The following is a 24,842-nucleotide window of genomic DNA, read 5'->3' as shown; positions in this document are numbered from 1 at the left end:
ATTTGTTAAGTAGTTAAGGAAACTGGCAGTATTATTTTTTTCCCAATTTAGAATCTACATTGACATTTGTAGATTCTAAGTTAGTATGGATCTCAAAATTTGTGCTTTCAATTCACATTGAGGGAAATAAGACTGAGCTGCTGTGTATTTTCCTTTCTTTTCAATGTATTTTGCCTTATAGCTGCATAAATAGAAAAGTAATTACTTAAAAATAAGTAATTTACTTACTTAGCAAGGTTTCTGATGGTAGCTTTTATTAAATTCTCAACTAAGATAATTATTGCAGAGAATTTCCCAACTTAAAGCAAACACTTCATTAGGTTCAAGATAATTAAAAAACACAACCATTTTATACTTGCCTTCATGATCTTTCTGTCTCCCTCCTTCCCTCTCCCTCCTTTTCTCCCCCTCCCTCTTTCTCCCTCTTTTCCTCTCCTCCCACTCTCCTCCCTCCGGCTCTCTTTCTCATCTCTCTGCCAGCGTAAGTGTAATAACTTCTTAACCTTATCTCAGAAGATGAATACTATGCCCAAACTAGGAAAAAAATCCCACACTAGAATGATGTTGCAAAAATTGCCATAAGATAATGATGACATTTTACCATCCTGTGACATTATCATTATTGATTCTTCCTCTATTTTATTTAATGCCATACAACAATAGGCCCTTTGCTGGATTGAAGTGTTGCTAAAATTCTAGTGTGTTTGTTTTTTAGATGAATGGCAGAATTGCCAACAGGAAGCTTTTCCAAAATCTCCATTGTTATCCAGAGAGAAAAGAATGACATAGCAATGTTTTTAACATTTCAACAGCATAATTTTCTTTGTCTCTGGAAAACGGGAAGCTACGTATCATTAGGAATTTCCTGATTAATTTCCTAAAGTATAAGGGTTCTAGTGCTATACAGGGAGCAACCCAGGCGACCTGCTCATTAACACTAAAAAAAAAAAAAAAAAAAAAAGAAAAAAAGAAAAAATACTTTCCTTGGGGACAAGCAGGATTTCTAAGGGCTTGCTGGCAATGTTATTTGACTGTACATAGAGGTTTCCAGCACAGATTTCTCTTCCAGCTCAGTGAAAATAAGAGTCCAGGCAGCCTGGCTTTAAATCAGTTGATAGAAAGGCAAAGATCTCAGAAATCTGGTTTTAATTTATCAGCTTTGAGTTGCTTTTTCCTTCACCTTTTCATGCTTGTCACTGGCTGCCTAACCCAAGTGAGGCAGGTTTCCTGTAGATCCCATCTGTCTTGCCGGCACCTCCTGCACTTGCTGGCATCCCTTGCCCTTGTTGGCAACTTCTGCATGCTGGATAGTGTCCCGTCAGGTCTAGGATAACGGTTCTCAAAGGGCAGCCTGGTGCCATTGCTAGTCCACAGATAGACTGCACTTTGATGCATTAATGATGTTTAATACCACAGTGACTATATTTTTACTTTGTTATACTGATCATTGTTGCTGCTTATAAGAATACAATGGGAGACAGGATTCTGAGGCTGGGTGCTGGGGGAAGCCATTTAAAATCTGGCAGCACTGGCGGGAAAGCATACCTGGTGCTGCCAGGTTGGAGCTTGGTGCCCTTTTCTGCCTTTTTCATGACACCTCTAAGGGGGAGCCATTGTCCTGCTATTCTCTTTGGCTTTCTTTTTAAGGGGCTGTGCACCCATAGATTTGCTGTAGCCAAAACTTACAAGACCGTAACTACACAGTTCAACCCTACATACACCCTGTGATATCTCTGAACTCTTCTCTACTCCTCTCTTCCCTGCTCACTTGGCCCCAGCTGTGCTTCAGACACACCAAGGTACTTCCAGACACTTACAGGCTTCACTCCTGCCCCTCCATTAAGCTGTTACTCAAATGTCGTCTTTTCAAAGAATCTCTTTCTGGGCATGCTATCTAAAATTGCAATCCCTACTGCTAATACACTCTATTTTTGTCTTTGCACATATCACCATCTCACAGAATGTATTTTACTCACTAATCACTTACACATTTTACTTATATTTACTTATTAACTTAGTATCTGTCCTCCCTCTGTAGAATATAAGGTAAATGAATATAGAGGTTTTTCTTTTTGTTCACTGCTGTATTTTGCATGCATGGAACAATGCCTGTCACTTAATAGGTGCTTAATAAGTATCTGAAAGAACAAATGAACAGTTAGAAGCCCGATACATTTATTTCTTAATCTGGTTTATACCCACAGCAGCAGAAATGCTATAATGACTTGCCCCATTTAAGTTTGGGTCAAAATTCAGTATACTGACTTATTAATGAAGTCATTTGGAATGAGTAAGAGTCCTAGGTCTATGTCGATCACACTGAAATAAGAGCAGACCATTGATTGATTCAATACTAAATGTGATTGTTCTATAACTTTCTGAACACTTCATGTAACAGCTCTGTCTAAATCTCAGAATCTCATTTATACCTCATCACTGAATATTTTTAGAATATTGAAGGAGTTTATTGGGGAGAGAATGTTTACTATATCTCAATCACTTCTTATATATGATCTATTTTAATTCTTATAAAAACAGTGTAAAAATACATTATTCCTATTTGAACTGAAATTCTGAACATCTTTTTAATTACTCAAGGTTTCACAAATTATGAGAGAAGGTTATGATCTTTTCAAGTTATGCTGTAAAATAAGGACTTCTGTTAGAAAACAACAAATAAATGATTAGACTACCCTCCATGTTATTCATCCTCTGTTAGCTGAATATTCGTCTTAAAGTAGGGCCCTGCCATGCCATTCTCCTGCTAAGAGTCTGCATTGGTTTCCTACTGGATCAAATCCAAGCTAAGGCACTCAAGTGCCAAGCAAGGCACTCAAAGCCTCATATAGTCTCATTTCCCCTTAACCATCTTAGGTTATTTACCTCAGCTGCCTGTAACAAATCCTCTGCTCTAGTCAAGAAGTTTCTCTTCTTCTTTTCTTCCTTCCTCCTTATTAGCCACCCCTCCTGCGTTAGGCACCCGTTTACTAGTCTGCCCTGCTTCAGGGACTTCTTATTTCTTCTCTGATGTTCCTTTCAGGCATGAATGTCATTCTTTTTTTCCTGCTTATCCATACACCTTATGGACCTATCTGTAAGATCCACCTGTAAATTACACACTTTGTTTTCATGTCCCTAGCCTACAACAAATAATCTCTCTCATTTTTCTTTTCTTAATTACTTTTGAACTTATCAGGTGTACCACACAATTTATTAATCCTTATTTAATTACAGACTGTAGCATTCTATAATTGTTTCTAGTGTTAGCCTTGCTCTCTAAACAAGATTGTAAGTGCTTAAAGAGATTTATGTCTTATACTTTCCCGCCTATACTTTGTAGAGTAGAGGTTGTTTTATTAAGAGATGCCCTACAAATACTTGGCTTTTCATCCTGTATAGGTATGAGTCCTGCTATTAATAGAAACAATGACATCATTTTAGGATAGATAGTAAAATGTGGTTTATCCAGCAGCAGATCCTTCCAATCTGATATTAGTTTTATGCATTTTATGAGCACACATATTTTCAGAAAGTCACTGGAAGATTTTGCTTCTGTTATATTTGAAATTTGAACACCAAACTTCCACATTGTGAAATGTTTGCATGAACACTTTTGAGAACTTTAGATGAAAGGTGTAGTATAAGTACAAAGTATGCATCTTCAAAAAGCAAAATGAAAATGCAAATATTTAGAAATTTCAAAACAAAGCATGGGAAATTTTGGGTATATTGCAAGGCCAAATAATTCATCATTCCATTTCTAGAGCACTAGAAAAGGTTGGGAAATCTGTCCTTTGAAGCCTTAGAGTATGTATATTTTTCTCTTTAGCCCTGTGCTGTTTCCTTGAGGATATGCCTGTAGCAATAAAGGTAATCGGGAAGGCTTTGAATTTCTGAGACAGTGTTAAGCATTTTTTAACATCAGATTAAAGGTGGCAAAAGCTAGGGATGATCTACAGGTGACTTCAAATCAGGGGTTACATTGCAAGTCCGTCTTTTGGATGAGATAAGTCAAAGTGCCAGTGAATGTGTTTTGGTGGCAAGAAAAGAAGCTGAGAGGGTCAGGATGCAGAAGTCAGCATTTTTTCAAGAAACACTGGGATAGAATTTCTTTGTGTGGAACTGTACCATGTCTGGAGATACCTCACTTAATGACATTAGTTGAATACTGTGCAGTTTGTCCAATTTTCAAAATGAAGTACATTTATGATTTTTCCCTGTCATGCATATTTATTGCCTTTTCTTTTTTTGTTTTATTCCTTGAGATAGGGTCTCAATTTGCTGCCCAGGTTGGAGTGCAGTGGGGTGATCTCCGCTCACTGCAACCCCCGCCTCCCAGGTTTGAACAACTCTCCTGTCTCAGCCTCCCGAGTACTACAGGCACACATCACCACGCCTGGCTAATTTTTTTTTTTTTGTACTTTTAGTAGAGACGGGGTTTCACCATATTGGTCAGGTTGGTCTCAAACTCATGACCTCAGGTGATCCACCCGCCTTGGCCTCCCAAAGTGCTGAGATTACAGGCGTGAGCCACCATGCCCCACCCTATTGCCTTTTCAGGAAAGTTTTTGGAGTGTTCTGAAGGTTGGGGAGGATCCACATTCTCTATCTTTAGAAGCTTTCTCTTTAGTGTCCCTTTGAATGCTGGCTTCAGTTCAGTGGATAATAGGTGGATCAGGCTGGGTGCATTTTTAGATTTTGTGGTATCAGAATTTGAAAACAAGATCTGCTCCAAGGGTAGGGGCAGGTCCCACTGGTAGAGACAAAAGGATGTTTTGCCAGTTTGCAAGCAGAGTGCAATGTACTGAAAGAGGAGTGCTAAGTGCAAAGTTGCACATCTAAGCCAGCTGTCACTGGGCAAAGTCCTGCAAAGTCTCACAGGTGGCACCCCATGGGCCGGCCCATCACAGGAAGACAGAGCCTGAGTGTGGCCAGTTTGTGGTGCTCCAGGCAGTGGGTCATGAAGCTGGGCTCAAGTAGGCCTGGCAGCTGACAGCGGACCTAGCCTTTGAGCTGGGGATCAGAGTTGCAGGCTTAAAGGAGCTCTCAGGCAGAAACCTGGAAGACAAGGAAGGTGGGGGAGTATGATAAGGACCAGCTGCTGAAAACGGGGCACACGTGGCTACAAAAATAATAATAATCCCCACAGATAATAATAATAAAGATAGCTAACACTTATTGATGCTTACTATATGTCAGAAAATGTCCCAGGTCCTTCACACATTTTAACTCTATCAATCCTTAAAGGCTGGTACTGCTATCATCCCCACCTTATGGGGGAGTAAACTGAGTCCCAGTAAGGTGGAATAGCATTGCAGAGCTACACATCTAATTAGTGGTAGAATAGACATCTTAATCCAAGCATTCTGGGTTAAAAAGTCTGTGTGTTTATCCTCCAGGCTATCCCACCTTCAAGTACTAAAAGGTGATACAAAATAAATTGAGTCTTTACAGTTTATTGGAAAGGGCAAAAGCTTTGAGCTAGAGAGATAAGGATTTGGATCTCACCTCTACCACTTGTTATTTCTGACATTTTGGGAAAATCATGTGATTATCTTAGATTTGCTATATCATATGTAGAATGCGGGAAATGCCATCCAGCCCATTGATTTTGAAGAACTAAGTGAAATAATAGATACAAGCTAATTAGACTTCATCTGGCAAGAAGCTGCCACTCAACAAATATCTGCTTGCTTTCATTCTCTAAATGCCCATTCGTATAGAGCTCTTTCAGTTACTTCCGATTGGAAATAGGATTATTCCAGGGCACAAGTCTGGGCTAAGCTTGAGATAATTAGGGAAGCCACAGGTTTCAACCCTTGTGAAAAGAAGAATAGATAGATAGATAGATAGATGACAGATAGAGACAGATAGATAGATAGATGACAGAGAGATAGAGAGATATAGATTAGATAGATGACAGAGAGATAGAGAGATAGCTAGCTAGCTAGATAGATAGATAGACAGACAGACAGATAAAAGACACCACAGGCTATAGTGAGAGGTGAGACAGCACCTGGCTGTTTCCTGCCTGCTTACCCTTAAACAATGTGGTGCTTTCTTCTTTTAATTTACAGAAAAATGTGCTGGCAAGTGCTTTTGTATACAGTTAATTCAATCAATGAAACTTTGCATCTTAAAGATGTAAACTAATGCTCACTTCAGGAACAATAATTGGCAAATTTAAAAATTATTCATTTTTATAAACATGTTAATCTTTTGCTTTCAAGATTTTTTGTGTTCATTAACTTTGTTAGTACTCAGAACTGACTGAAATGATTCTAAGTTTGAATTTCTATAATTATGCTTGAATTTCAAAGCCTACCTTGCATAGGATGGTGGCTAGGGCATAAATATTACATCCTATCTCCAGTTAAGGCATGGATACCTGCACCATCTTTCATATGAGAAGCATCAACACAATTCTGACTATAAAATTTCATGATCATTCTTTCCACCTACAACTTTTTTGGATCTTTAGCTACGAATTACATTTAAAGCTATTACTGTATATACTTTTTCTGTACTTAAAAACATATTTGATAGAAATAGCCCACGTGTTCGCTGTAGAAAAATTAGATTACATTAGGCACAGAAATTAAAGGAGAAAAGCCACCCATAATTCCAGTACTAAATAGTATCAAATTTTGAGGTATATCCTTCCAGATTATTTTCCATAGATGTTGAGGCATAGTACAGAAATGGGATCACACTCTACATACAGTTTTGTAATCTGTGCTCCTCAGTCAGCTATTTATTACAATAAACACCTGTATATTCATATACATTATCATCTGTAGTAGCCTCATTCCATTGCATTTTTATAGCGATACTAATTTAGGTAATCTGCTATTGTTAAGTATTTAATTTATTCACTAGGCCGGGCATGGTGGCTCATGCCTGTAATCCCTGCACTTTGGGAGGTGGAGGCGGGTAGATCACCTGAGATCAGGAGTTCGAGACCAGCCTGGCCAACATGATGAAACCCGTCTCTACTAAAAATATAAAAATTAGTCGAGCGTAGTGGTGGGTGCCTGTAATCCCAGCTACTCAGCAGGCTAGGCAGAAGAATCACTTGAACCTGGGAGGCAGAAGTTGCGGTGAGCCAAGATTGCGCCACTGCACTCCAGCCTGGGCAACAAGAGTGAAACTCTGTCTCAAAAAATTATTCACATTGTTTTTATTATTATGAACAAGGCTTTGACTGTCATCTTTGCACATCCATGTGTCTTTTTTTCATACTGATTCAAGGGGCATGTGTGTTTATCAGGCTTTTGATGTATTTGCCAAATACATCAAATATCTAGAAATAGCATGCTGACTATACTCCCTCTGGCAATAAATGAGTGCCTCAAAACTGTATTTTTTTTTCTTTTCATGTACCATCTGATAGACAAAATAGGCATCTCCTTATTTTATTTTTTATTCATTTGTTTTCTCGCATGGTTGATTTTTCCATATCATTAATTTAAAATTTTTAATTTATCCTTTTTTGTAAATTCATGATTATTTTCTCTCTCTCTACTGGGACATATTTATTTTCCTTACTGATTTTTAAGAGTTCTCCATGTTGTACCTCTTTAACTATAAAATATGTAATATGTAATATTTTCCCAGGTTGTATTGTATATTAAAATTTTTTGATATATAGAAGTTTTTGTTTTAAAATTGATTAAATCACAGGCTGGGGATGGTGACTCACACCTGTAATCCCAGTACTTTGGGAGGCCAAGGCAGGCAGATTACTTGAGCCCAGAAATTTGTGACTAGCCTGGGATCCATGAGGAAACTCTATCTTTACAAAATTTTTTTAAAAAAATTAGCCCAGTATGGTGGCCTGCACCTGTAGTCCCAGCTACTAGGGAGGCTGAGGTGGGAGGATCACTTGAGCCCAGGCAACAGGTTTGATTGCACCACTGCACTCCAGTCTGGGTGACAGAGCCAAACCCTGTCTCAAAAACAAATAAATAGATAAATAAAATTAATGAAATCATTTTATTCATAGTTTATGCACTTAGAAAAGCATCTGGCATATATAGTGCTCAGAAAGATCTTCCTCACCCTTAGAGAAATAAAACGTTCACATATATTTTCTTTGAGTATTTCCATAGCTTCCTTTTTCATATTTAAAGTTTGAATTCATCTGGACTTTATTCTGGCATAATATAAGTCTTAAGGCTTATTTTCCCAAATGATTATCAAGTTGTCCCAGTATAATTGATTATCCTGTGTTCCATATGCTGATAAAAAATGTTAACTCTGTCAAATATCAAATTCTTATGTATAGTTGTATCTCTTTGGTGTTTCTGTTCAGTTCTATTGGATTCTCTTCTAGTCTGGTGCCAGTATCAATTATTATAATTATTACAGAAATTACTCCTTTGTTAATATTGTCTTTCAGAAATGTTCTGGATATATTTACATTTATTTATATGAGGTCTTAAAATACACAAGCAATGGGAGACAAGGGGGAATTGCAATTGGGGGTAAATAAAGCAAGTTTGGAAAAATGTTGATATTGTTGTAGCTGTGTGATGGGAATGTGGGACTCATGATCCTATTTACTCTGCTTGCATGTATGTGTGAAAGTGACGATAACAAAACTTTATATAAATAATTAGGTAAATAATTCAGATCGGAACTGCATGTAATTGGAATTGCACATGCTTTCCTCTTTAGAAACATGTTTTTTAAAAAAAGTCTCCTTTTATGTACTTCAATGAAGTTTTGTAGTTCATTTCTTTATATAGTCCCTCTACCTTTCTAAACAAACAAGCATACAAAACCTAAGAAAGCTTCTTCATGCCTAGTTTTTAAGTTGTGTGTGTGTGTGTAGCAATTATATTTCAAATTGTTGGTATATAGGAAAACCTTGATTTGTAATCAACCCAGTTACTTAACTTAAAAAAAAAAACTCTATTTCTTTCTTTTTTTTTTTTTTTGCTTTCTTTTTGGGAGGTTTTTCAAGTAGAGAATCCTGTGGTCTTCCTATAGTGATAGACTTGCCTCATCATTTTCAATATTTATGATTCTCCTTTATGGGATTTATTAGCTAGCACTTTAAACACATTGGCAACTGAGGGTGGTGGTAGTGGGTATTTTTCTGCTGCTCCCGGCTTTAATGAGAATGTCTTCCATCTTTGATCACTAAGCAAGACATTGGCTATTTGAGAAAGATATGACTTTTGGTCCCGTTTTATTAAATCTTAAAAATCAGGATTCAGTGTTAAGTGTTTTCACATGCATTTTAGACATTCTTAGAAAGGATTATGTGTTTTTCTTTTCCCTTGGTCTATTACTTTAATGAGTTATATTAATAGGTTTCTTACTATTAAACTCTTCTCACATTCCAGAGTGTGTAAACTCATGAATAATATGGATCTTGTGTACTGTCTTACAGAAATTCCCTAAATTGATGGCATTTCTCCATGAGTTTTCTATTGTTTCTTGCTTCTAAGTGAATTTGGGAGCAAGGAGAGTGAAATAAATGGACTGAAATTTCTATCTTATACTGGAAGTCTGGCATACTTGCATTGACTGTCATCTACAGTAGAGTCAAATGTACTGACTGAAATTCAGCTATGGTTAAAGAATGTGGCTTTTATTTCTTATAGCAAATTTTCTAGCTCTAGATTCTAGCTGTAGAGCCATTGTTCCCATTAATGAGGTGGGGAAAAACACCCAAACTTTAATTCATTTCGGGATTAGAATAGTTTCTTTTGGGTCAGTATGTAAATAATTGAAAGTTGAGCTATATATCAGAACTGTTTTTCTCCTCTTCAATGACTTCTGATGTCTTCCCTAAAACATAAAATAACTTCTGGGTGCAGGAGAAAACATACATATCCTGGATTTATACTTACTAGCCATGTAATCTTGTGATGATTATTTCAGCTTTCTCTACCTTGATTTCTTCATCTGCAAATTGGATATTAAAATGACAACTATTTTACAGAATTTTGTGGGAATTGAATTAGTTAATATATTTTAAGTGATTAGAACATTTCCTGGTACATAGCAAATGCCCCATAAGCGTTTGTAATTATAATATAAAATTATGATTGTTCTCATAGTGTTAGGAGTGAAGTGGACTTTGGTTCATGTGCCATTTTCCAATTGAGTGCTCTTGGGATGATTTGGTGTCTGTCTCTCCTGCCTCCACTTTGAAGTATCTGAAGCTGGTTTAATACTCTAATTCTGTTCTCTTGCCATAAGCAAAGAATAGGAATTACATCTGTTTTTGCCAACTAGGTTGGCACCCAACTCTTGCTGGGAATATGGGGTCTCTTTCCTTAGTAATATTTATGAATGAGATAATCTGTAACAATATCTTGGTATGGTATGATATGTTGTGACATCATCTTCATCTTAGCAGAGTTTGGATGAGTTAGAAACTGAAAGACCATTTTAATACTAAGTTTCTTTCATTCAGCTACTTCTACTTCAGATATTAAATTTGGTTTTACTTTTTCATTTATATGCTTTCGCTTATATTACTTCTTTAGTGAATTAAAGAGATTTTTAAAGAGAAAATTCTAGCTTCTCAAGCATCATTGTCCTTCTGAAAAATTGAACTAATAAGCCCTGAGATGATTAAAGCGTAGCCGATCCTTAGAAAAGAAATTGCCATTTTCCATTTTCACTAAGAAATTCATCTATTAGCACAATAATATTTATGAGATTTTGCTGTTGTGCAATCCCTCATTCATCCCTTATCACCATTTTGAATGAAGAGAGAGCAAAATCTAATTCCAGGTGCCAGATGGGTGCCACACAAATGGCAATGATTCAGCACAGGCTCCAGTTACAGATACCAAGCTCTGAACAGCTATTTGGATAATCAGGAGATCTTGGTGAACTGAGGTGAATTTTCTTCTGTGTGTCAGGTCCTCCACTTGTTCTTTCTCTATATTCAGAGCCTTTGAATTTGCTATGAAGCTTGGTATCTGCTTTGTCCTAGCAGTTAAGAGTTGGTGTCACAATTCACATCTTGCTGGAAAAGTGATGGGTTCATTTTGAGGCTCATTGAATGAGTCCTTGAAGAAGGAAGCATCAAAATGAAAAGGATTTCAAATCTCTGAGTATAAGGTTTGAAATGTTCATTTGACCTCACTGATGGCTGTGGAAAAGCCTAGGCTTGGACACAGAAACTGAAGGTTAAATCTTGTACTATAATTGAGTGTCTCTAGAATTAGTACAGGCTTCTCTCATTTTGTGGCAGTGTAACAGCAGACTAACAATCCTGGGAAGAGTGCATTTTTAATGAAACATTTTTGCAGGGTTAGTAAAATCCAGATCTCCTAAAAAACCCAATGCTTGCTTACTCTAAGATGAGAAGGATAAGCCAAATTCAAGGCTTCTCACTATGCCACCAGGTTATACAATAAATTTTGAGCTCCCCTATCCTACATTTCGAAGGATTAATTCTAACTGTAATTTACCTTGATTCTTAGAGCTCGCTGAGGCTCTTGGTGTTAAAGACATATCAGGGGACAAAGTAATAAAAAGCTTACATTTAAGGAGTGCCTTCTTAGAGTTAGGTACAGTGGTTATATACGCTGACATGTAAGTTCATCATTTAGTTTACACAGTAGTAGCCTTGAAATGTGAGTTTCAGTATCTACATTTATCTTGATCCTGACATTGACATGCAAAAGGGTTAAGTAGTTTCTCATGGCCATAAAATTAGAAAATGGCCAAAACAGAATTTGACTCCAAATTCTTTGGAATATGGAATATGACTGATTCCAAAACCTAATATTCCACTGATTAGTTTTGTCTCTTCATCTCTCCGAATCAACATCTCTTACATAAATTACTTTTGTTTAGGGGATATCTTAGAGTTCTTGTTTTATAATGGAGTGAGAAAAAAATATCTCCTTAAGAACAAAGGAATTAAAACAAGGCACTACATTGAAGGAGTTTATTTTATCTACCACATATACACTGAATATGAAAGAAAAAGAGTATATTGAAAATGATTCTCTAATGGCAGAAAAATATTATAATTTATGCTGTACTAGATCTTGATTTTGTTGCTTGTTATTTTTAATGTCTATAATAAATTGGTAAAACAGTAAAACTCTTGAAAAGCAAAAAAAAAAAAAATCCAAATTCTTTGCCCACTTTTTTTTCTGCTGTTATTTTATTTTTAATGTAAAAAAGCCAACTGCTCTTTATCATTCGTTAGAAATTTGCTCCAAACTAAGGGGCATGTACAGTTTTCAATTTGTGGGTGTTAATGACTCCACCACAGTGGGCTCATTCCCTTGCAAGGGCGCTAACGGGCTGTTGCTTCCTAAGAGACAGAGGATTGAGAGGTTTTGGTTTCTACTCATAGTCTTTGGTTTCTTGGCTCTGTTATTTTCCTTGTTTATGTTTCTTTTAATTAACATTGAGTTTCTTCATTTTATGCCTTGCTTTTCTTCTGTTTGTACAGTCTGCCGGCAATGACTCCTTGGGTAGCACTTGTTAATTAGGGAGAAATGATAGCTTGAGGGTACTTCCTGACTTACTTGGTGCTAGGATAAAAGTTGTTCTACTGAAGCCGCATTAGAACAACTTTTATGTACCTACCTCAAGTAAGATCTGCATGATGCTCTACCAATTCCCTTTTGTCTCTTTGATCTTTACTTTAACTCTGGTTTATTTTATTTAAATTCTCATTGTGTCCCAAATAATCTAAACCAAGAGTATTATTAGGTCTTAAAATAATTCACTTGTATTTTTCTTAAGGAGGCTATTCACAGTAGATTTTGTGGGAAAATAAAAATTAGAATTCACGGCTGATTGACTAAATAAAAGCAACTAAAGAACCAAAGGGTATGTTGATTTTAAAAAGGAACTTCTGAAGGTATCTGGCTCATAATTACCCAGAGATAATAATTTTGGTTCTATAGCTCAGATTGAGAAAGCTATACATAATATAATGCAGGATCTATAACATGGATTGTCTTTCTCAATTTCTCACTATTCCTCACTCTCACCTTTCCTTCTCTCTTTCAGCTACCTATTCCTATCTAATCTATCTATCTATCTATCTATCTATCTATCTATCTATCTATCTATCTAACTGTCTATCTATCTATCTATCTATCTATCTATCTATCTATCTATCTATCTATCTATCTGCCTATCTTGTTTTTGCCAGAGAGGCAGAATGGTTCATGTTTTAGAACCTAGTTGGTCTCATGATACAAAGTACAGACTATGATTTGTAATTAATGATTTGTAGACAGCAGTCTCTACATACATTCTACAACCCTCAGTGAAATGCCATTTCTAATACTTCTCAAATTTACAAGTATTCAGACAGCAGATTTTACTTTAATATGGGACAAAAAAACATTAAAAAGAATAAAAGGCTCAGTGCCTTGATGAACTCCACTTTTCTTTGTAGCTAGTAAGCAGCTTGCACCAGAGATTTTATGGGGATCATCTTGCTATCATTTTATTTTCCTCATGATGACTCAGGGAATTTTATCCTGAGGCTCTCAATGGATCTGTTATAGTCAAGCTGATGATGACACATCTCAGAGGCTCATTCCATATTGGGCCTCAGGCCAGCAAACTACGCACCATGCTGTCCTATGATTCACAGGACGAAACTGCTCTAGACACCTCCCACTGCCCAGGCAGGAAGGGCACCATAATGAGGCAGTGGGAGGGTGTATGGCTAGGAAAGTTGCTAAAAGGAAGCTTTTGTTGTAACTTTCTTCTCTGCTGCAGGAGGCTAACACCAAAGCAAAGTATTATCAAGCAACAGACCCTACATTTATGCAATATTAATGAGAAGGTCCCTGGACTTTTAATTAGGGTGGAGAGTTGTGTTTTAGAGAGCTGAAATTATTTTAGGTGGGAGGAAATGGAATCCTGGGAGAAAAGTAATTAATTTATAGCTCAATGACTGAACTGTGCCATTTTGAAATACTGGTCAAGGTGAGCGTTGAAAGAGTGGGTACTCTGGCATTTCCATACCCTTGGGAGTGAAGAATTAGGCTATTTGGGGAGCCAAATGATATGCTTGTATTTCCAAAAATGTCATTTATTTTGTAATAAATTTGTGCTGAAATAAAAAGTGGCTTGTGTTCTCTATGTAAGTGTGACCGCCTGCATATTATTCATTCAATGGTCATTTACAGCATACTTTATAGGTGTGGAATTCTACAGATGCCTTTTCTACAGGGACAAAGTTCTGACTAGATGCACAAAGGAGATGAAAAGAACCGTCAATGTCTACTTTCATGTTCCTTTCCCTCTACGTGGGGAAAAACATCAGTATATGAAATGGCATTTGAATAACTTAAAGAGAAGTGTTCACAAGAGCAGAATAACTCGGAACAGGCTTTGAAGCCATTAGGTGTATGAATCATTTACTGCCTCCTCGGGGGTCCCACACCAGCTATTCTGAGATTCTGTCAGAGCACTTAGTGTATTGTGTTATTTGTCTCTGTCCCCCACTAGAATGAGAGTTCCACGTGGAGAGAGATTTTTATCGTATTTATCTCTGCATCCCTGGACCCTAGAGCACAGTTCATTGCATACCACAAGTGTCCAGTAAATGTCTGGTGAATGAATTAGTAAAATAGATTGCTGTTATCATTTTGGAGGAAGAGAAGGGAATAGAATGATGGTTTTATATGGACATAAACTACAAAGGAAATGATTTGATTCTTTTCAGTCTGGAGACAAAATGTGCTTTTCTTCTCTTAATTCTCTGTTCAATTCAGCAGAAATCAGTAAACATTTACTAAGCATATTTTATGTTGTAATTGTATATATAAACATGAAATGTTTTCTAACCTCAAGGGACTTAGAGTCCAGGGCAAGGTTGGCAGTGACGTACAATTAAACAGATCATTTTGATGTAATTTGACAAATATACTGTGGGAGGCATTCAGGAGGCATTATGGAGGGAGTAAAAAGGGATGTTAGGTCAGGCTGGCAGTGGGAATGGGGCTGGGATATTGGGAGAATCAGGAAACTCTTCCAGGAGGAGATGACACCTGAGTTGAGTCTTGAAGCAAGACATTCCCAAACAAAGGAAGAAGAGCATGGCTATGGGGTAAAGGAAGAGGGGAAAAAGTCCAAGACAGAGGACAGGGAGGTGAGAAACCGTATGGCGTATGCAAAGAATTACAAGTGGTTCCCTATAGCAAGTGAGTGAAACAATGCTGTGTGGGAGGTCAAGGGATGATACTGCAAACAGCAGACAGGGGGACTCCTACTTACCATGTAAAGGAGATTTATTTGGACTTTATGCTGTAGGGGATAGGCAGCTATTGATAGATTTTAAGGTGGACTTGAAGTAGGCAGTATTGGTGACAAGAAGAACATTAGAAAGTGCCTGAATTTGTGTAGATAAAACTCTGGAAGACTGTGGTAGTGGTAGACCCCTCTTAGTGTATGAGATATGTATGTGGCGGGTTAAAGTATACACATGGCAGCTAAAACAATGAAAACTAGTGGATTATCAAGAAATATAATCTAGAACAGAGGCTCCCAAGTGCCAATCAAAAGTGGTGGTGCTCTTCACCCTTCATGATTATTATCTGGGGTATTGGTCAAAAGTAGATTCCTGAGTACCTGTCCTCAAAGTTCTGATTCATTGGTGGAGAGTCAGCCATCTGCATTTTATGGCATTCCCTAGCTAATTTTGATATGCAGTCATGTTTGGGAAATGCTGATAAAAATAATATCAATGGTATCACTCATATTTTAGATGTAGACAAAATAAGAAGACCCCGTGAAGTAGCAAGAAGTTGAGCAGTCAGTTGGAGAACCAGCAGAAGACAGAGGAAGAGGGATTTTCTAGAAGGCAAAACAATGTGATAGCAGAGAGTTCTAGTCAGATAATTTGTGAAAAGTTTGTTAGATTTTGTGATATGGAGGTCTAGGATCTTTAGAGAAAGTAGTTTAAGTGTGGAAGGAGTAAAACTTGCTTGCATTGGGTTGAGGGGTAGACAGTGGGAATAAGGAGGTAAAGAAAGATAACAGACATTTTTTTTCAAATAGCTTGATTTTGAAGAGAAAGAGAATGATATCTTGAGGAGGGAGAACATAGGGTTATAAGGATAATTTACTTTTTACAAGAGGAGAGACTCAAGAGAGTATTTAGATCTTGAGGGGAGAGAACCAGTTAGAACTAGAGCAGATGGAGGAGGAAAGACAGGCATAGGTAGAAGACAGGACTCCTCATAGGAGGAGAAACACCTCACTCATCCTCTCAGACAGCGGGAAAGGAGGTAAGGGAGAGTAAGCTGGGTGAGGAAGGAAGCTGAGGCATAATTTTTGATGGGATGTTCAGAGAGACATTAAGAGGCTCAAATAGTTGAAAGGGTACAAAGCTGGTTGAAACTAAACCTAGGTAAAGAGCCCTATTGTTAACTTACTATTTTAAAAATATTTTTCTTGAAAATTGTGACAGCTTTTTCTTTTCTTTTTTTCTTTTTCTTTCTTTTTTTTTTTTTTTTTTTTTTTGAGACGGAGTCTCGCTGTCGCCCAGGCTGGAGTGCAGTGGCGCAATCTCGGCTCACTGCAGGCTCCGCCCCCTGGGGGTTCACGCCATTCTCCTGCCTCAGCCTCCCGAGTAGCTGGGACTACAGGCGCCCGCCACCTCGCCCGGCTAATTTTTTGTATTTTTAGTAGAGACGGGGTTTCATCTTGTTAGCCAGGATGGTCTCGATCTCCTGACCTCGTGATCCACCCGCCTCGGCCTCCCAAAGTGCTGGGATTACAGGCGTGAGCCACTGCGCCCGGCCTGTGACAGCTTTTTCCACCCATATTGCATTTATTTTCTAACTTATAATAATATGAACCTATTTTGTAGATTGAGCTCCTGTTGGTCCTATAAAACCCAAATCTCTTGCTTGCTGATTCAGTTGTTTATTTGCATTTGTCTCATGTTCCATGTGTTTTGCATTCCCGGAAACTAGCACAGGCAGGGAGGCCTCAACACCTAATTTATTTCCTAGGTGAAGTGGAACCTGAAGATTTTCCTTTTATAGACACCATTACTAGATCTGAAAGAAAGAGGTAAGTTAATTGACACCCAAATGGAGGATGAAAATAGTAGAGTCAGGAAGAGAGAACTTAATTTTAGCCATCTGTTTTCCAACTTGGCTTTTCTCAGTCTATAGATTCCCAAAAACAAAGTCTAACATTGGGTACGAAATAGCAAACTTGAGCACTGAAAAACAAACAAATGAGAAAGCAATCTAACAATTCCACGAACAAAAAACTAGCACTTTTGTATGTCCTCTGAAGTAAGAAGAGATGAGTAACTTTTGTATTCACTCAAATACTTTCTTTTAATCCAACTTTTAAGTATTTTTTCTAAGTGTTGAAAATTTGAGAAGCCAAGAAACATAGAAATGAGACAGAACTACCCATAATACTGTACCTAAATATAACTACTAATATTTTGCTAACTTTTTCAGTCTTTTCTCTGTGCATAACTTTTTATAGGATAATATTACACATACAACTTTAATCCTGCCTTTTTCACTTAATATTATAACACAAGCTTTTTCTCATATAATTGAAATATCTTGCAAAATATATGATTTTAATTACATAGTACATCATGAAGGTTCTCATATTTTATTTAGCAATTCCTTTACTATTTGACATCTAAATTGTTTCCAGATTTTCATTATTTTAAGTAGCACTGCTGGAATGTTTCTGCATACAAAGCACTTTCCATATTTCAAGTTACTTCCTGAATTATGATATAAAAGTGTATAATACCATTAAAGCTTTTGGTACTTATTATCAAATTCCTATCCAAAGACTTATGTCATTTGGAAAGTTGATCAGCAATATATGAAATGCATATCTAATTATATATACACCATTTTCAAGTATTTTATTTTTAAAAGTAAAATAATTTTTAAGCAAGACAAATCTTGAGATTTTAATTTTCATTTTATTAATAGTGAGATTGAATATACCCCATATTTTGATATAATTTTATTTCCAATTTTGCAAAATTTCTACTTATTAATTAAAACATTCATTTTTGTAGATTTATACCTCTAATTTTTAACATATTTTGTAAATGGTACAATGTATGTTACATATTAATACTATGGCAAAGGCAAAAGAATGATAATGAATTGCTTTCAAACTTAAATATATATATATTTTTTGAGATGGAGTCTCACTCTGCCACCCAGCCTGGAGTGCAATGGTGCAATCTCAGCTCACTGCAACCTCTGCCTCCTGAGTTCAAGCGATTCTCCTGCCTCAGCCTCTTGAGTAGCTGGGTTACAGGTGCCTGCCACCATGCCCAGCTAATTTTTGTATTTTTTTTTAATGGAGACAGAGTTTCACCATGTTGGCCAGGCTGGTCTCACACTCCTGACCTCAGGTGATCCACCTGCCTTGGTCTCCCAAAGTGCTGGGATGACAGGCACGAGCCACTGTGCCTGGTAGAAGTTATATTTTTTAATCATACAACTTGCAGTATGGAAGAGACTTTACAATGTACCTTATTCAACCCTGTATTATTAGTTTGTTTTCATACTGCTATAAAGAACTGCTCAAGACTGGGCAATTTATAAAGGTAAGAGGTTTAATTGGCTTACAGTTCTGCATGGCTGGGGAGGTCTCAGGAAACTTACAATCATGTTGAAAGGCGAAGGGGAAGCAAGACACCTTCTTCACAAGGAGGCAGGAAGGAGAATGAACACAGGAGGAACTACCAAATACTTATAAAACCATCAGATCTCATGAGAACTCACCCACTATCATGAGATCAGCATGGGGAAAACAGCCTCCATGATTCCATTACCTCCATTTGGTTTCTCCCTTGTCACGTGGGGATTATGGGGATTATAATTCAAGACGAGATTTTGGGTAGGGACACAGCCAAACCATATCAATGCCCCAGTTGAAGAAGCAAAGATTAAACCCATAAAACAATTATTGAAAAAAAAATGTTAGCTAGTAGATGAGTTTGTGGTACAACATACTTTTTGTTATTGGACCTCAGAGTCAGTAGAAATCTATGTGACTTGGCGCAGTAGGGGAAGTTGTTATTAGAAAGAAGGGCTTTTGTTGGACTTTGAATAGGAAGAGTTCTGTAAAATGAAGAGAACAAAAATTAAAGGGCATGAATCTAAGGCCAAGAGGTAGAAATGGATGTGTCTCAGGTGCGGCAGAGATGAGACCAGCCTGGAGGGTAGAGGGCTGGTGTTGGGAGATACAGTGTGAGGTAAGGCCAAATTAAGCATGCAAATCACAGATCACTTGACTCTTCTAGTTGAAACACATCACTCTGGAGTTCCTACTGAGCATAAGCTACAACCTGATTATATAAAGCCATCCTTGTGGTTACAGGTAGATTGCACTGACTTTGGCAAGTTTCAAGATGTTAAACTGTGCTGGGAAGACTACAAGATGGGTTGACAGATAAAACTAGTTTTAGGAAAATGCATGCACAGGGCAATATTATCAGCTAGCCACAGCAATGGCCATGGAATACAGGGTCCTCTCATTATTGTGTTGTCCCAGGCAGTTCTATGACCTTAGGCAGACTACTTATGTTCCCTATACTTCAATTACCCTATTTGTACTCTACGTTCTTTCTAAATCTCAGATTCTATAGCCTCTAGCAGGAGCTCAGATAAAGCATAGCTTCAGATAAACAGCACTCTAGAGAAAAGAGAGAAAATGTAAATAGCAGGAAATCTCTATTGTCATCTTTAGATCTGGAATAAGAAGTCCTTTCTTTTAATTCACAATTTTAGAAGGTATGAGGAGATATCCAGAACTTTCTTCCCTTGTTTCTGCTACCAATGTAGCAGAGGGCCAACTGAAGCAGATGTTCACATTATCTATCTTACGTGTGTAGAGGGCAAATTAGTGGACATTTAAGAGCCCAAGGCAATAATTCAACCATTCCCATGAAAAATCTGTTATTCCATCCTTGTATGTTTCTTTTCTTTTAACTTTTTGAGTATTTAATTCTTGTGTTGCCTCCTCCTAATTTCCTTCCTGCAGATACTTTGGTGAGTAAACCTTGATAAATTAAGCCTGTTTTTATTATATTCCTTTGGAGTTGTCTTTGATTGTGATCAAGCTTCTCTTTTTATACATGCCACATGTATTCATTCTTCATTTAGATGAGAATCTAATCAAGGGAATAAACTGCCAAGTTTGGTTTCATTTATGCAACCCTAGAAAAATATATCTTTTGATGAGTTGGAGACAACAGTAAGTTAGAGACAGAGCTAATCCATTACACCTTGATCACTCAGAGGCAACTGTACCCAAACAATTCTTTCCCTTTGCATCAAGAAAGTTTGTTGTTTATCTGAGAGCTTAGTACTGTGCCTGGCACATATAAGGTGCTCAATAAACTTTTTAAAACCAATGCATCTGAGTGGCTTTATAATTCAGCAGTTACTGTATGAACTGACTTACTATGTAGAAGAAAAAAGTATTAGTTCAAAAAGAGGAGATTAAAGAATTCTTCTTACATATATAAAACATGTCCTGTTCAGTAGCTTCTCTAATATTTTGTGGATGATTGGAATCCCTTTTCACTCATATTTAAGGATGTCATTATGTATGGGGACATTTGCTGTTTCAATACATAGATTTATATTTGCAGGGAACTTAAAGTCCCCGGAAATTTTTCTGAGATATTATCTGATTAATCCCCATAACAACGCTGTGAGGTGGGTTGTGGAGATATGAGGGGAAAAAAGGGAAGGGATTTTCCTAATACCATACAGTTTGTGTATATGACGTAGCAATGAAAGTAGAACTTATTTCATCTGATGACCAGTTCAAGACATTTTCTGCTATATAAATCTTTAATCTCTAGGATAGAAACTGTCTTAATTCCCTTTGCATTGACACAGCAAAATGTATATAGGTGGTCCATCTAATTCCATCTCTGAATATTCCAGCACTATCTGTCTTATCCACCTCCTCTATTCATTTTTATTTCTAAAGTGTTCTCCCTGCAGGAGCTGACTCTTCCTTCTTTCTAATTAACTTTATGTGGAAACTCCTATCGTAACGAAATTGCACGTGTGAGTGTTCTCTCGCCTGGCTTTCTTTTTAGTGCACCTGGAGGGAGAAAGCTTTTCTGCAGTCTCACCACATTATCTTTGCTGAGAGAGAAACTTGCAGGAACTAAGATAACTGCCTTCCTGAGAGTCAACCTTTTCATCAAACATTCTTTAGTTTAGGCACAGCTTTGATTTTTGCAGAGGTTACCACTTGTTCATAATTAAAATGCACTGGTTCATGCTATTGGCAGCAAAGCACTATGGAAGAGTAGACAAAAACGTGGATTTTGAGGCAGACAAATCAGGTGTGAATACTGGTTCTGCCATTCCTGGGCAATTTACTTCATTCGTTGCTGCTGATTTCCTCGTTTGTGCCATGGGAAAACATATTAACAATGTCTACCTCACAGGAGTATTGGAAAGTTTAATGATACATTATAGAGATTTTTTTAAGGATAAATGAGGTAGCAGAACATGCAATCCTCTTCATAGACTGCAGAGCACATCTACCATTTCCCCTCCATCTCCACTCTCCTCCCTGCCCTACCTTGGGGGGCTTTGAACCCTGGAAGGCTGACCAGTCAGATGTACTTCTTCCTCCTTTGCCCTCCTGCTTGCTTGCATTTGGTTAGTGGGGAGTCCTAGGAGGAGACAGATGGAGAAAGGAAAATGAGACTGCGTGCAACTGGTTGTCTTCTTCTTTTTAGGGTCTAGCTGTGTCCCAGAGAGCAACTTCCCTTTTCAAGGCAGCCCACTCTGTGTGATGCTTTTTCCTAGGTATGGGCAACCCATCCCTCCTAGGGTGAAAACTTCGCTGTTGCTAGTTCCAGGTACTGTGCCATCCTTTGTGGATTCCTCTACCCTACCAACATCTCCTTAAAGAGTCTCTTTGTTGAACCTGCTGTAAATGATCCTAATAAAAGTATGCTGTCTGTTTATTCTTGGACCTTCAACTGGTAGATTATTCATACTGGTTAGTGGAAAGTAGATCTGCCTACATATGTATTATTTGAGAGAGGTTAGCACTTATAGAAGAAAAAACAAGAATGGGCTGTTTTTACTTGCCATTTGATACTAAGAGAAAAAGAAGGTAGTGATGATGGATGATGATAAAGATATGATGATGGTGAGACCCAAATACCTCCTATGAGCCAAACATTCTCCTAGACAATACTTTTTACCTCATTCATTTTGAAAACACATATGTGTATTATTATCTTTCTTTTGTAGATCTGGAAAAAGTTCAGATAAATCAAATAATGTACCTAAAAGCTACATAGAATGCCAGTGGAGAGCTGAAATTCCAACCTATACCTATTTGGTTCCAAAGTCTATACCCTTTTACTGACGCTAGGTGCCTCCTAGCTATACAGGGTGAGAAGAGCCATTCCATCAGCAGTCAGTTTTCAACTGAATCTCTCTGCCTATTGAAATTTCTCTAAGTTCTAAATTCCCATAGGAAAGTATCTCTTAATGATGGTCTTTAAATGATTTCAAGGCAAATTTTTTAAAAACCTGGTTAATTCAGCAAAGCTTATCAGGTCAAATCCATTATTTGTCTGATTTGACTGATTTGTTACCATTGAGTCACTAGCCCAGTAGGGCAACTATTCCATGGTTGTCCCTAAGGCTACTCATTAAATCCTGGATGAATAATTAAATATTTTGAATAAGTTTTTCTCTGATAATATATGTTTCCTACGGCTGTTATCTAAAGTTTTTTCTCCCTAGATATGGAATATTTCATTCAGTTTGTATTAATTTCTGTCCAATTCCTAAATTACATGAGTAACATAATTCTGCATTTTCTGGGACCTATAGGATGCTAATTTGTAAAGGTGATTCAATTCCTGGAGGTGTACTAGCTGAGAACTTTCCATTGTGGATCAGCTCCTCCCTTCAAATCCTACTCCTTTAGAAAAAATCCATACACACTCAGAGAAACAGTATTTATCTTAGCAACTCACATTTGATTGTGCATTTTTCTTTAATCTTCAGGCAAGCATTTCTATCAACCTTGGAAGAAGGCTTTGTCCCTTGTTTCCCTTTGAGTCCCCAAGTTGCATCCAGAGATATTCTTAGCCACAGTGAACCTTACTTCTCTGTTTCTACCTCTACTTTGCTGTTACGGGACCTCTTACCTCCCGCAAAGTGTCTTCCTTTTATTTTGAGAAGACTTGAGAGGGTGACTCACATATATTCCAAACAAGTATTTTCAGCCTTTAAAAAGGCTGTGTTCCTTGCAGGCTTCTCTGCTTTCATTTTGTATGTTTTTTTAAAAAATGATACATAGTTACTTTGTTTTTTATCTTTTAAATGTATAATTCATACTACTTTGTACTTTAATATTGTCAATCATTTTAGCAAAACCAGCTCCTTCAGACCTTAATCACTGTTACTCTTTTCCTTAAGTCTCAGACACATGTTTTTTGAGAAGCTTACAACAAACCCAAATGATAGAACTACATGCTGCTGTTAGCATCAGCCTACACCTACACTATTAGCCTAAACCTGCAATATCAGAGTTTTTGTGGTTTGACCAAGCCTTTTATCCTCTTTCCCTTACAGTAAGTTCTTTCCCAGAAAGAAAATATCAGCCCACATGCAAATATATCTTATAAATATGTAGGTTGTGTCCTGATGTAGCAGAATATCATAAATGAACACAGCACATATAGCTATTCGATTTGTTCTTTCTTCAAAACTCAAAATGGAGAATCTCCACTGTAGTGTCTAGGAGAAAGCAAAGATTAGTTAGGTAATGAGGATGTCAATGTCATTCAAGTGGCAATTACTCTGGAATATTCCTTGAAATAACAGTTACTGCTTACTTAACAGTTATTGCTTATACTTTTTGTTCTCATCTTCTCAAGTATTCCTTACAACCACTAAGAACTAAAGGGGTAGATAACTCACTAAATTTACTGAAGAGTCATTGGATTGGCTTCAAGGTACTATTGATTATTGTCAGTGAAACAAGACGCAATGATGCAGTTGCTCAGAGGGCTCTTTTCTTCACATGTAAGTAAGATTCCTCCAGCAGTGGATCACCTTAGTGATCCCTTAGTGAAAAATTGTCGAATCCTTAGCTGTCCCAACAAGAATCAACATATACACAATTCAGTTTGCATCTTCATTTTATACATGTAACTTTAGGTTATGGCTATCATATCTGTTTTTTTTTTTTTTCAGCCACTAAAACTGTAGAGTTGAATATTTAATGGAAAACAGATGGTGCTTGAAATCTCTAACTTACATTTAACAAAAGCTGTTTTGGAAATGTTGCTTATGTATACTTTTTTATTGCTTTAAACACAGCACCGTTTTAGCCTGTTCCGATGAATTATTTAAGAATTAACTGTCCCAGTCTAAGACAGCATTTCAAAGTGCAAGTGTTAATCATAACTTGATTAAACATTTCCTTCCTTTTCTTTTCAGCATTCCAGTTGGCTTTTGAGTGGATACGTGCAGTGAGATCATTGACACTGGAAACACTAGTTCCCATTTTAATTACTTAAAACACCACGATGAAAAGAAATACCTGTGATTTGCTTTCTCGGAGCAAAAGTGTAAGTAACTTTTGTTTTCATCTATTTTCTAAACACATGTACATATAACATTTTAGTTTTGGTTTTGGATTTTAATGCTATGCTATCATGATTAGGCTTGTGGGAAACGTTTAGTCAACTTTCAGTTCTCTGACTGTACACAGCTTATTAACAAACAAAGACTAGTTTGTCTGTGTGACCTGTTAGCATTTGATGAGAATTCTTTCAGCTAGTTTATATCTTACCATTCATTCATATACGTCTACAAGCC

The 24,842-nt window shown here is 37.1% G+C and overlaps 1 protein-coding gene across 15 annotated transcripts in view; it reads left to right on the top strand.

Annotated features, from left to right (window-relative positions):
• The window catches only part of PDE4D (phosphodiesterase 4D), a 1,553,091-nt gene that overhangs the window by 311,980 nt on the left and 1,216,269 nt on the right, over window positions 1-24,842 (top strand). For all 15 annotated transcript variants that reach the window (XM_024446112.2, XM_024446110.2, NM_001364599.1 and 12 more), the window contains one exon: window positions 24,462-24,592. In XM_024446112.2, the coding sequence (XP_024301880.1) occupies window positions 24,551-24,592 (42 nt within the window). In that variant the 5' untranslated portion in view covers window positions 24,462-24,550. The remainder of the gene's footprint in view (window positions 1-24,461; window positions 24,593-24,842) is intronic.

The sequence above is a fragment of the Homo sapiens genome, chromosome 5 (genome assembly GCF_000001405.40).
Source record: "Homo sapiens chromosome 5, GRCh38.p14 Primary Assembly".
NCBI classification, from domain to species: Eukaryota; Metazoa; Chordata; class Mammalia; order Primates; family Hominidae; genus Homo; species Homo sapiens.
Note: the sequence above shows the minus strand (reverse complement) of the source record. Positions and strands in the feature narration are given on the sequence as shown.